Below are 14418 nucleotides of genomic sequence, written 5' to 3'. Positions count from 1 at the left end.
GATAAAGTACAATGATGTATTTTAAAATATTGAATCCTTATATTCAGAAATGGACTCCATTTTGTTGTGATGTATTATCCTTTTTCTACATTACTGGATTTGACTTGCTAATGTTTGGTGGAAGCTTTTGTGTCTAGGTTCATAAGAGATACTGATCTATAGTTTCTTTTCAATGTTGTAATGTCTTTATCTGGTTTTGGGATTAGAGTAATGATGATATCATAAAATGAGTTGGGAGGTTTTTCCTCTGCTTCTCTTTTCTGGAAAAAAAATATGGAGAATAATTTTTTCACTGGTATAATTCACCAGTGTAATCATCTGAGCTTGAGCCTGTTGCTTTTTTGGAAGGTTTTTATTATTAATTTAATTTTTAGAAAATATGTATAGGGCGGCCGGGCGCGGTGGCTCATGCCTGTAATTCCAGCACTTTGGGAGGCCGAGGTGGGTGGATCACAAAGTCAGGAGATCAAGACAATCCTGGTTAACACGGTGAAACCCCGTCTCTACTAAAAATATAAAAAATTAGCCGGGCGCGGTGGCAGGCGCCTGTAGTCCCAGCTACTTGGGAGGCTGAGGCAGGAGAATGGCGTGAACCCCAGGAGGTGACGCTTGCAGTGAGCCGAGGTAGCGCCACTGCACTCTGGCCTGGGCGAAAGAGCAAGACTCCATCTCAGAAAAAAAAAAAAAAAGAAAATATGTATAGGGCTAGTCTGTTTTTCCTTGCATGAATTTATTAGTTTGTGTCTTTTAAGGAATTGGTCCACTTTATTTAAGGTATCAAATTTACAAGGATAAAGTTGCTTGTAGAATCTTAGAATCTTTTAAAAGTGCACGGTATCAATAATCAGTAGTAATGATTCTTCTTTCATTGCTGATATTGGTAATTTGTATTCTTTCTTTCTCTCATCTTGTACGCTCATGCCTGGGAAGAGGTTTATCAATTTTATTTACGTTTGTGAAAGCCTAGCTTTTGGTTTTGTTGAATTTTTCTATTGTTTTCCTGTTTAAAATTTTATTGATGTATATTCTAATTTGCATGGATTTCTTTTCTGTGTTCTCTTCAGGTTTAAATTGCTGTTCTTTCTCAAGCTCTTAAGGTGCAAGCGTAATTTATTTATATTATTAATTCTTACTTTGTAATATATGCATACAGAAACTGAGTGCTATAAATTATTTTCTAAGCACTGCTTTAGCTACAACCCATAAGTTTTGATGAGTTATATTTTCCTTTTCATTTATTCTGAAACACTTTTTGAGATTTCTTCTTTGGCTCATGGGCTTTTAGAAGCTACCATCTTAGTGCTGATATTATCCATTTGTTCTTGCACATTGTCTACTTTTTTCATGAGAGCCCTTAACATATTTATCACAGTTATTTTTACATTCCGTCTCTGGTACTCCAACATCTGTGTCATATCTGAGTTTGATTCTGATGATTGCTTTCTCTTCAGACTGTTTTTTCCTGCCTTTGACGTGTCTTGTGTAATTTTTTTGTTAAAAGACAGATATTGCATTAGGTAATAACAACTGAGGTACATAGGCCTTTATGTGAGAATGTATGTTAATTTGTTTAAGAGTTAAGCTATGTTTAATGTTTGTTGCAGCCATAAGTATCAGAAGTTCCAAATTCCTTTAGTGTCTTTGTTTTGGCGCTTCGCCTGGCTTCACAGCTTGTCTCTGCACTGCTCCTCATAGTGAGTCTGTGTCTTTCAGTTCATTCCACTGAAAACAGCTGTAGTCACTGCTTTTAAACTCAAGCTTTATAACAGTGATGATAGGATATAGAAGACAGTAAGCATTCTCCAACCTTCTAATGAAGTGTGGGTCATTTCCTAAGCCAGTAGCTCATGGCTGTAGCTATCCCAGCTGTGTCTGCCTTTCCTCCAGTAGCATGTTCACCTTCTAGCTCCTTTCCCTGGCTGCCGAGCTCCCAGTATATCTCCATGAAGCACTCTATCCATTGATGATTATTTCTGCCACTACGTGATGAAAGAAGGCTAAAGAGAGCTGAAGTGAGGGGGGATTCCTTTCCCCAAGCTTGGATACAGTATCAGAATGGAGCTCTGGTAAAGTCCTTCCCCTGGAGAAGGCTCTGGTTACATTTCACAATGGTCACTCTTTCCTTCTTCTGCAAAGGCATGAAGGGATCTTTTGGGGATTCTTACCACAAAAATATGGTGAGGTTACTGGAGGGAGCCTCCTAAGAAACTCTTCCTCCAGCAGTTTGTTAAAATTGTCATTTCATTGTTTGGACCAATAGCTCTAGAGGCTCCTGCTGTCTGAAGCACATCTCTAGGCTTTATCAGTTGCAGTGTCTGTTTGTACCTCTCTTTTTAGATTTTGGGGTGGTTATCTGTCCTGTGCAGTGCAATTGTCATGCTATCTACACAGAATTAGGTCAAACCTCACAGGTCAAGGGCACAGGGCCTGAAAAGGGCCTCCCTCATTTCAGACATCAGCTACAAGCAGGGGAGGGGGCTTCCAGGACACACACACTTCTGACCAACTGGCTACAAAGCTGGAGATTCCCACTACCCACTCAAATTGGATACACAACTTTGCTAGAATAACACATTACTCAGGAAAAAGCTGTAGTTATAATTACAGTTATATAATAAAGGATGTAAATCAGGACCAGCCAAAGAAAGAAACCGTCAGGGTAAGGTTTAGGAGGACCTGAGACACACGACTTCCGCTTCCTCAGGACAAGTCACCCTCCTGGCGCATCGATGTGTATCACTACCCAGGAAAGCACACCTGAGCTTCCGTGGCCAAAGTTTTTATCAGGGTTTCATTATGGACACATGACGGATTGAATCTTTGGCCACATTATTGAGCTCAGCCTCTAGCCTCTCTCTCCTCCCAGAAGGCTGGGCTGATAGCACATGCTTCGAAGCCCAACCCTTGAATCACACAGTTGTTCTTTCTGGTGTGATGGGCCCCATCCTGTGTCATCTCCACAGCATAAGCTCAGATATTGTCAGGCCCGCCATCAGTAACAAAATATAATTGTATCATAGGAAACTTCAAGGGTTTAGAGGGCTCCTCTCAGGACCCAGAGAAAAAGATCAGCCAAATTAATTACTATGCAACAAGCCACCCCTTGTTCTTTGACTGCGATTCTTGTTATATGACTAATATCTGGGGGAGCCAGAAAACTTTTAACTGAATTTCACAATACATTTGGCTCTCGATGTCAATATTATAATCTTACCAACAGTGCCAGTATTACATCACAGCATGGCAGATGTCACCTGACTGTACTTTGTCTGCCCTGAAACATTGGAGCTCTATCTATATTTCTCTTTGAAAGCTCCTAATTGACCTGAGAGAAATGGTACCATTTCCCTGTGGTAAAGCAAGTCCTTCACTAGTGACCTCATCTGGCATTGTTTCCTATAAGAGAGCTGTCCTGGAGCTCAGATCATTTTGGACATAAAAGCTATGTAGCCTAGAATATGACTTAAAGGGTCCAATGGCTATGCCCCCAAACACATTGTATCCTTATATATGGACTTTGCCTCGGGAGTCACTGCACCCACAAAACTGTAACAAGGAGCCCTTTGCTTCAGTTTGAGTCTTTACCTCTCCTCTCTTTTCCTGGCCCTTAGTTTTAAGTCATGAGCATAGACCATGCAGACCTTTATGGAAGCTCTCTTAAGTCATAGGCTGGAAGGGGCCCAGTCTCTCTCTTTATCGCTCTGTTCGTCTTATGTACAGTGAACATCTTGTCTCTCACAATTGACTTCAAGCCACACAGGTCCTCTCTACAGAAATATCTTATTGCTTGTTTTCAGAGCATCTTTCCAAAGTTCTTCTTATTCTATGTAATTCAAATTATTGTGATTTCTCACATGGACTCTTACAAATGCCTCCTTACTATTCTCCCAACTTCTTTCTACTTCATTATGTAGTACGGAGGCTTCCCAAGAAAAGAAGGATTATATATTATTAAAGAGGCTTGGCCGGGGGCGGTAGCTCACACCTGTAATCCCAGCACTTTGGGAGGCCGAGGCGGGTGGATCACTTGAGGTCAGGAGTTTGAGACCAGCCTGGCCAACAGGGTGAAACCCCATTTCTACAGAAAATACAAAAATTAGCTGGGCATGTTGGCACGCATCTGTAATCCCAGCTACTCCGGAGGCTGAGGTGAGAGAATCGCTTGAACCCAAGAGGTGGAGGTTGCAGTGAGCTGAGATTGTGCCATTGCACTCCAGCCTGGGCAACAGAGTGAGACTCCATCTCATTGAGGGAAGACAAAGACCCTCTCATATTGTTTTATATTGTTTCATACTCAGTACCTGTTTAAAGAAAAAAGAAAAAAAACAAGGAAGTGAAATCAAAGACAGGCAGCCTGGCACCAGGCCCAAAACCAGGCCTGGGCCTGCCCGGCCTAAACCTAGTAGTTAAAAATCAACTCATGACTTAGAACCCGATGTTACCCATAGATTTCAGGCATTGTATAAAAGAATATTATGAAACTCCCTGCTCTGTTCTGTTTCACTCTGACCACCAGTGCATGAAACCCCTGTCATGTATCCCCTCGATTGCTCAATCAATCACGACCCTTTCACATGAAATCTTTAGTGTTGTGAGCCCTTAAAAGGGATGGAAATTGTGCACTCGAAGAAGCTCGGATTTTAAGGCAGTAGCTTGCTGATGCTCCCAGTTGAATAAAGCCCTTCCTTCTACAACTCGGTGTCTGAGAGGTTTTGTCTGCGGCTCATCCTGCTACATCATAACATAACATAACATAACATAACATAACATAACATAACATAACATAACATAACATAACATAGCATAAAATAGCTAGGTCTCTTGTCACAAATTCATTTCATTAAGTATTGGTGAAAGGTATGTATTCTGGGTTTTCCCTGTGTGAATGAGTAATTCCTAAATGATAAGTTAACTCCATCATTCTAATTTTCCTTAGTCTTTGAATCCCTTCCTCTACATTAAATCAAGGGATATCTGGCATTTCCAATTCACTCACAGTGGGACATCTTTTGATCCATATTGCAGCCAACAAACCAAACTGGTAGAGCCTTTTGTAACTCCCTGAACTACAACATTAAATGCAGAATCTCTGCTCTGTGGGACCGTATCAACAAACGGGGAACTTTATGTTCCTTCCACCATTGTCTCATACCCCTGTCAATCGAGAAAAATGATGAGACAAATCTCAATCATTTTAGGAGGTTTATTTGCCAAAGTTAAGGATGCATGCCCAGGAGACAGGTCTATGCCTTTCTTCAAAGATGATTTTGAGGGCTCCAAATTTAAAGAGGAAAGGGCAGGATATTGAGAGGTACACAATTTTCATGTGAGAGTGGGGTAGGGAAAAATATTCATTTATGTGTCTGGCTCAGTGAATTTGCATTGTTTTACATAAGATGACATAGACAAATGGGGCAGAGGAAAAATGCTGGAATCTGCATTTTTACATAAGATAACAGACAAAATGGGGCAGGGGACCGATCAGATATGCATTTGTGTCTGGAGGGCAGGGGGGTGACTGCACTGTAAAGACAATTGACATTATCATGGTGAAATTTTAACAGACACACCTTAGGGTAAAGATCTTGGAGCTCACTAGGAATTTCCTCATGGACAAAATGTGGGGGAGGCATGAAGATTTTCATCTTGTAGCCATCTTAGTTAGGAAGCAAAAGGGGAGGCAGGTTTGCATGACCCAGTTCCCAGCTTAACTTTTCCCTTCGGCTTAATGAGTTTGGCATCCCAATATTTATTTTCCTTTCACACCCCTAATATCCATTCCCACACATGTTCCCCAGTTTCCTACCTGTTCCTGGATGTAGTCAGCCTCCTCAGAGATCATACTCTGTAACTCACCTTAGGGGATTGCGGGACTGGAGTCTACTTATAGGTCTAGAATACGGGTGTCCAATCTTTTGGCTTCCCTGGGCCACATTAGAAGAAGAATTGTCTTGGGCCACACATAAACTACAGTAACACTAATGATAGCTGATGGGCTAAAAAAAGAAAATAGCAAAAAAATTTCATAATTTTTTTTTTTTTGAGACAGAGTCTCGCTGTCGCCCAGGCTGGAGTGCAGTGGCGCAATCTCGGCTCACTGCAAGCTCTTCCTCCTGGGCTCACGCCATTCTCCTGCCTCAGCCTCCCAAGTAGCTGGGACTACAGGCTCCGGAGACCACACTCGGCTAATTTTTTGTGTTTTTAGTAGAGATGGGGTTTTACCATGTTAGCCAGGATGGTCTCGATCTCCTGACCTCGTGATCTGCCTGCCTTGGCCTCCCAAAGTGCTGGGATCACAGGCGTGAGCCACCGCGCCTGGCCAAAAAATTTCATAGTTTTAAGAAAGTTAACGAATTTGTATGGGACTGCATTCAAAGCTGTCTTGGGCCACATGTGGCCTGCAGGCCACAGGTTGGATGAACTTGGCCTAAAAGCAAAGAGGGGTGGTGGGGTGGCTCCTAAGGAGAATCAGCATTGTCTTGCTCCACAGCTGCCTTACGGGAGGCCATTCCCATTTCCTCAGGCAGTGCAGGGTTATCCCCTCAGACAGAGGTGGAAAGGTTGATGCCACTGGGGATGGGGAGGCACTTCCTCTGGGGTTGGGGAATTCACTTTTGCCAGGGGTGGGGTGGCTACTTCTGCTGGTGGTAGGGAGACCTGTTCCACTGGTGAGAAAGAAAAGTGGCTCCGAGTCGTCTTAGAAATGTGAGGTCTGCAAAATTTATCGGGCCCTGAGAGATGAGCACGAGGCTTCACTCATGTCCCGGCACCCGTGCCTGGGCATAATTGTTTAAAGGCACTTTGGCTTTCTTTCCTTTCCTGCAGTTTCCAGACTAGCGGATAAATTTCCTAAAACATTACCATAAGTTGCACAATGTGGCCCTCACCCAATATCTTCATGTTCCTGGAATCTGTGATACAAAAACAATGCATAGCCAACAAATAGTTTGTGTTGTGTTATTTTAATGAACCTATGTAGATTATTGATAAGCAACTTAGAAACTGCCCCCAGCTTATTTTTTCTCTTAAACACCCACTTGTAACTGCTGCTAATCTGGGTATATATGTAGGGCAACTTGAATCTATTACTCCTAGGCTGCAGTCCTTAATCTTGGCCCATATAAACTCTCTACTTATATTAATTTTGCCTCATTTTCTTTCCTTAAGTTGACATGGGCAACAAAGGCTCATCAGAGGGGCTCAATGTTCCCAGCTTTACCAAGGCTTTCCATCCCAATTTACAGGATCCCATTTTTTTCCCAGTCAATGCCCTCACTTTATCAGTGGGCACCCTGTGAGGCTGGGAGTTATATTTGCCTTGTAATTCAGCCAATCACAGGATAAAGTCTTGCATTTGATTTTCAGCAATTTCAGCCCTGAAGCTACAAGACCTAACACTCTCCCTCAGGGTGCACCTAGAAGGTCTTAGGTCATTTGTGTGGTGCTTGAGCTGGGAATTATTGTCATTATTTTCCTTAGTTTTCCAAAATCTTTTGAAAGTATTATATATCGCATTACTTTAGTTGACTAGGACTATCCAATGCAGATATTTTGGGTATCTCAATAAAAAATTCACGTCATGGACTATCAGTAATATCTTACCACTGAAAGTAAAGTCATTAGTATTTTCAAGTTTAATCATATTAGAGAAACAATTCCAGAAACCTCAAAACCAATTCACAGAATTTATCCTTAAAATTCTGTTCCTCTAGATCCACTCTTGGGGCAAAAATCTGTATTATTCAGGTTTCTCCAGAAAAATAGAACCAATCTGATATAGATAGGTAGATAGGTAGATAGGTACACAGCTAGCTAGCTACCTATCTGTATCTCATATCTCCTCTTGAAACAGGAGAGTTCCCTGATCCCCTACACAGGATGATTGGTGGGTGTGGCTCATCTGTTCTGCTGCCTCCTGCTCAAACCCCTCATGGGAGGGGAAGCACGCAGACAGGGAGGTGTAGGAGCTGGGGCAAGCACTTTTGGACTCTGGCCCCACGTTACCATATATGGGTGGGTGCCTGCAACTCCCAAAGCTCCAGTGGGCATATTACAGTACTCTTTAGCTCTGCCATCTGCAGACCACTTAAGTGTTAACCAGCTCAGTGCCCTCTTGGTACCAAGGTCCTTGCCTGGCATCCAGGAAGAATCAGGTGACATGGAAAAATTGAAGGATGACAAATGTGGGGGATTTTATTGCCAGACGGAAGTGGCTCTCAGCGGGGTGGATGGGGAGCTGGAGAGGAGTTGCAGTAGGAAGATGATCTTCCTCTGGAGTTTGGCCATCCCGTGGCCAATCTGTTCTCCAACCATCCCCAGCCAACCACCTCTCGATGTTCAGACGTTCCTTCTCTTCTCTCCTTCTCTGCCACCCTGCTCTTCCAACCCTCTGCTCTTCTGCTTGTGAAGCCTGGGACTTGGGGTTTATAAGGGTTCAGGAGAGGGGGGCATGGTGGGCCAAAAGGCAACAGCTGGGTGCAAAAACAGGAATGACTGTTCCCATTTAGGGCTGCAGGTTTCCTGGCTTCAGGGTGGGGCCTTTGACAGGGAACCGCCTCTTCTACCCAGTATTTCCCTGTCGCCTGTGCATATCACTCTTATCCCTGTAGATAGATAATAGATTCTCTATCTCTGTGGATAGGTGCAGAGATAAGAGGAGATCTATAATCAGAATTGGCTTACATAATTATGAAGGCCAAGAAATCCCACAATATGCCACCTATAACCTGCAGACCTATGAAAACTGGTGGCACAATTCAGTCTGAGTCCAAAGGCCTGAGAACCAACAGAGTGAATGGTGAAACTACCAGTCTGAGTCCAAAGACCTGAGTACCAGGAGATATGATGTCTAAGGGCAGGAAAAGTATGTCCCAGCTCAAGGAGAAAGATAATTTGCACTTCCTCTGCCCTTCTTGTTCTATCTAGGCCTTCAATGAACTAGGTGATGCCTGCCCACATTTGTGAGGGCAGATCTTGTTTGTCTATTGAATCAAATACTAATCTTTTGTCTATACCTCAATAAAGCTGAAAAAAACTAAAGTAATTGCACACTTCCAAAAACAAAAAATATAAACAAATACTATTTTCCAAAAACACCCTCACACACTTAGAAATGTTTTACCAGCTATCTACCAAGTCAACTTAATGTTTAACTTTAAACATTACATCCTTTAATCTAGCATAACATCTTTTAAATTCATCAACATTTGTGTAGATCAACAGTTACAGTTCTTTTCTTTTGGCACTTGAAAAATATTGTGCCACTTCCTACTTGCCCCCATGGCTTTAGATAAGAAATTCACTGTCATTCCAATTCATGTGCCCCTAAGGATAACAAGTCATGTTTCTGTGCCTGCTTTCAATATTTTCTGTCTTTTCAGAAGTTTAGTATGATGTGTCCTGGTATATATTTCTTTGGGTTCATACTATTTGGGATATATTAAACTTCTTGAATCTGAGTGTATTTCGTTTAACAAATTTGGGAAATGTTTACCCATTATGTCTTCAAATACTCTTTCAGCCCCACTGACTTTCTCCTCTTCTTCCCCAACTCCGATAATATTAATGTTGGATCTTTTGTTATTGGTCTGTGAAGTTCTGTTCATTATTTTCAGTCTATTTCCTCTATTGTTCAGATTAGGGAAATTCTACACATTTTCAAGTTCACTGATCATATCTCCTGCCCTCCACCCTCTACTATTGAGCCCACCTAGAAAGCTTTTAATTTCTGTTACTGCATTTATCTGTTTCATGAATGTCTTGTTTCTTTTTTATAACTCCTATTTCTTTGCTAGAATATTCCATTTTTTCATTTAAGATAATTTTTTTATTACTTGAACCATTTTTATGCTGGTTGCTTTGAAATTGTTGTCAGATAATTCCAACATGTGGTTTATTTCACTGTTAACATCAACTGATTGCCTTTTGTCATTTCAATTCCCATTTCCCTGTGCCTTGCGCATTTTTTATATTATGTTAGGAAATCTGGGTTCTATTTACATTTTGTTTAATTTTAGTAAGCATTCACCTTTTTGGATTCAGCATGCCGGTCTGGACCTAATTTGAAGGATTTGACTCCTACGACAATTTAATTTTCAGTCTTTGCAGAGCTATTTTAGTTTGCTTTTTAAAAAAATATCATTCCACTGGGGCTCCTACTGGTTTCTGATGGAGCTTCCCCAGGATCAGTTGTCTGTATCTCTAAGTGAATGAATGGAGACTCCGTCCTACAGGGGCAGAGTGCTTCCCTGGCCAAGTGCACATTGCAGTGTGAATTCCCTTCCCTGTGCCCTTGGTTGTGCAGTGTCTCTGGTGAAGGAGGTGAGTTGCGTCCTTTGTGGGAAAGAATTGGAAAGTTGGATTTTGGCAATTCCAGTTGCTAGTGCCCTCAACCAAGGGCTTGGGAACAGGGGTGGAAGGAGAGGAGTAGAGACGTAGAGAAAATGGTGTCTCACACTTGGTGAAAAAGTAGAGTTTTCTGGCAGCTTACCGTTAACAGGGCTTCTAATCAACCCGTCTCCATTGTTGGTTCTCCTCTGCTTGCCTGCTATTTCTGGCAGAACTCTCATTTGTTGCAGAAGAATGAGCCTACTTGAGCTACCTTCTGTTACTACATTGGGAGGTGGGAATTGTCAAGCCTGGATCACCTCTCTTGTTGGATGGGGGTTGTATTTTGTGCCTCCAGAATCGAGGCCCCGACCAATTCACCTTCCTCTTACCACCTTTCAGAATTCTCCTGTAGCTGTTCCTTTTACTATTCTCAGTGTTTATAATTGTACTTAGTAGGGAGGGGCAGAGAATGACAAGTCAAGGTGATTCTGTCAACTCTCAAAGTCTTGTCTATTTAAATTTTTAGAAGTAAAAACAGAATCTCTGAATCTGGCAAATACGTATCTGACAGTGGTAGCCTATTGCCCATTTTCTAGGTTTGGTTCAGTTCCACAGATCTAGATGTTGTATGATGAAGGAGAATCCACGTACAGTTAAGAAACGAGTTTGCGGCCGCGCACGGTGGCTCACGCCTGTAATCCCAGCACTTTGGGAGGCCGAGGCGGGTGGATCACAAGGTAAAGAGATTGAGACCATCCTGGCTAACATGGTGAATACCCGTCTCTACTAAAACTACAACAAAATTAGCCAGGTGTGGTGGCAGGCGCCTGTAGTCTCAGCTACTTGGGAGGCTGAGGCAGGAGAATGGCGTGAACCCGGGAGGTGGAGCTTGCAGTGAGCCGAGATCGCACCACTGCACTCCAGCCTGGGCGACAGAGCAAAAAAAAAAAAAAAAAAAGAAACAGACTATGGAATAAGTATCATTATATACCTTGGACAAATGGCAGAGCTTACTGCTTTCATTTTTAAAAAAAATTAAAAATGCATCAAGGTTTCAGAAATTAAAAAATTTTATTCTTGAAATAAAAATCTCAATAGATGGGTTGAATAGCAACATGGATTGAAGAGTAAATCAGTGAACCAGAATATCATGCTAAGTAATTCTCCCAGAATGCAGTGCAAAACAATAGATGGAAAGAATGAACAAAATGTTATGAGACATGAATGACAGCTGTAAAAGTTCCACTATCTGCTTAATATGAATTACAGGAGAGAAGAAAATTAAGGAAGGAGAGTGCCTAAAACAAGGCAAAAATTTAAGACAATTTCTTAGAAATTGGAAATACTCATATTGAGAGGAACCAGTGAATATTTACAGGAAGAATGTAAAAAGACTGACATGTAAGTAAATCATGATAAAATTTCAGGATACTAAGGATAAGGAGGAAACTGAATGTTTTCAGCGTGAAAACAATTGTGTGGGATGGAATAAGATCGATACCAGACTTCACATTGGCAACATGGTAAGTAAGAAAACAGAATAATGTCTTTACAGTTTTCTGGTGAAAATACTTGTGAACTTATGATTCTTGTTAAAGCGAACTAAATATGGCCTGAGGACTCTGTACTTCTGTATTTGAGTCCTTGTGGACTAACCATAACCTAACTTAATAGACAAGATTGAAAACCTAGCTTAGGAGTATGCATCTGTAACAGCAGCTGAGTCTTGGCCAATCCCAGCAACTATACTTCAATCACTCATACACTGCTGAGGGTTCAAACTGTGTTCAAATAAGGCAAATGCCAACCTGTAACCAATCCAGCTGTTTCTTTACCTCACTTTCAATTTCTGTGTGTCACTTTCCTTTTCTTGTCTATACATTTGTTCTGACCATGAGGCATCCCTGAAGTCTCTCTGAATCTGCTGTGGTTCTGGAGGCTGCCCAACTTGGGAATTGTTTTTTTTTCTTGCTCAATTAAATTCCATTTAATTTGAAGTTTTCTTTTAATATTGTTTAACCAGCCAAAGTGCAAGTGAATGTGAGGGCATCATAAAGACATTTTAAGACCCAAAAACAGATTCAAAAAGTTTATAATTCACTGTCCACATAGACTAACCTTTCTCAACAGGGTACCATTGGCATTTGGGGTGGAACAGTCCTTCGTTGTGTAAGATTGATCCACACATTGCAGGTTGCTTAGTGTCCTTGACCATCATCCACTAAATGCCAGTAGCATTTCTCCTCCCCGTGACAATACACAACAGCTCCACATTTGGAGACAGTGCTGTATCACCTCTGGTTGAGAAACCATGGTGTAGAAAATATATTCAAAAAGAAAATAAATCTGGGAAGAAAAAAAGGGATATAAGAAGCACAGGTGAGCAAGATAATCAGTGAAGTTTACTTTTAAGTCTAAATTATAAAAATAAACCTATAATAAAAAACTAAAATCTGAAATAACTCGGGATGGAAAGTTATGAAGTCTGGAAAGGAGGAAGGAGAGAGAAGTAAAAGCATGCTAGGAGTCTCATTTTATCTATACGATTAGCTCTGGATGTCAATCATATGTGTAGCTATGTGTATAAAAATATAAAGATATAGGAACTAAACATATACTTTTCAAGTCATTAGAAGAAAAATTAGTTGGGAACAAGTAAAATGCCAGCAGCTAACTGAAGATCAGGGATGAAAAAGAAACACAAAAACAGCATATAAAATAGAAAGCACGGCCAGGCGCTGTGGCTCACGCCTGTAATCCCAGCACTTTGGGAGGCCGAGGTGGGCAGATCACGAGGTCAGGAGATCCAGACCACCCTGGCTAACACGGTGAAACCTCGTTTCTACAAAAAATACAAAAAAATTAGCCGATCGTGGTGGCAGGCACCTGTAGTCCCAGCTACTCAGGAGGCTGAGGCAGGAGAATGGCGTGAACGCGGGAGGCAGAGCTTGCAGTGAGCCTAGATTGCGCCACTGCACTCCAGCCTGGGCTACAGAGCGAGACTCCATCTCAAAAAAACAAACAAACAAAAAAAGTGATTATATGCTTCATTTCAAAGATGAAATTTATGACTATACAGCAAAATAAAATTGGGATAAAAAATAACCTGAAAATCAGGAAACAGGAGAAACAGTCTAAACATTTATTTTGTGATCTTGCCTAATTATTTTTCTTATAGTCAATAAGGAATAATTTAAAATGACCTTATTCCTGAGTACCTGGAGACTTCTAAGAAGTTTTGAAAAATAATTTTATGTTGAAGAATCATACCACGAAATACTTCCAAGATATATCTGTGTTGCCATCCTAGTTACTATAAACCAGAGAAAAATGTTCTAATTACTCTTTTTAATGAATATGTACAAAAATACTTCATTATAAATCTAGAATATAGGAATATGTTCAATAATTGATTTTTGCAAAAAGTCTGTTATTTTTTTTTTCTCTAAAGCAGGCAGAGAACTGTGGCTTCATGATCTGAGATATCAGGCAAGGAAGTCCTCCCCTATTCTTTCTTAAGGGATAAGCTCTTTATATTCCTCTCTCCAGTCCCTCAGAGACAGCATCACATAACTCCCCTATGCTCTGTGCTCTGTTGGCTCCATCCTCGGGGACAAGTGCTATTTCACATCTTACTCTTAAATCACTTCTGAGAAACAGACATAGCTTCCACCAAAGAGGAGCCCTCCCAACAGACCTCTAATAACACCAAAGGGTTTCCATGTGTGTGCCCTTAAGCGAACATACACCAATGAAATGAATCTATAGATTGATAATGAAGCCAGTTTTTATAAGTGACACATGAATATCAGTCGATTAGACACACTCCTGCCGAGTACTGTAACAAATCTCTTCATTTTTACCACATACATGAATAGCTGTCCCATATATTCATAAAACATAAGAATTTTTTTCTTGATTAATAAACTTCATTTTTTAGAGTAGTTTTAGGCTCACAGCAAAATTGAGTGGAAAGTAGAAGAGTTCCCATAGACTCCCTACTCCCATACACAGCTTCCCCCACTGTCAACATCCTGCACCAGAATGATATATTTGCTATAATCGATGAACCTACACTGACACATCACT

Source organism: Homo sapiens, chromosome 15 (assembly GCF_000001405.40).
Source record: "Homo sapiens chromosome 15, GRCh38.p14 Primary Assembly".
Classification (NCBI taxonomy): domain Eukaryota; kingdom Metazoa; phylum Chordata; class Mammalia; order Primates; family Hominidae; genus Homo; species Homo sapiens.
The sequence above is the reverse complement of the archived record's forward strand: the minus strand, read 5'-3'. Positions refer to the sequence as shown.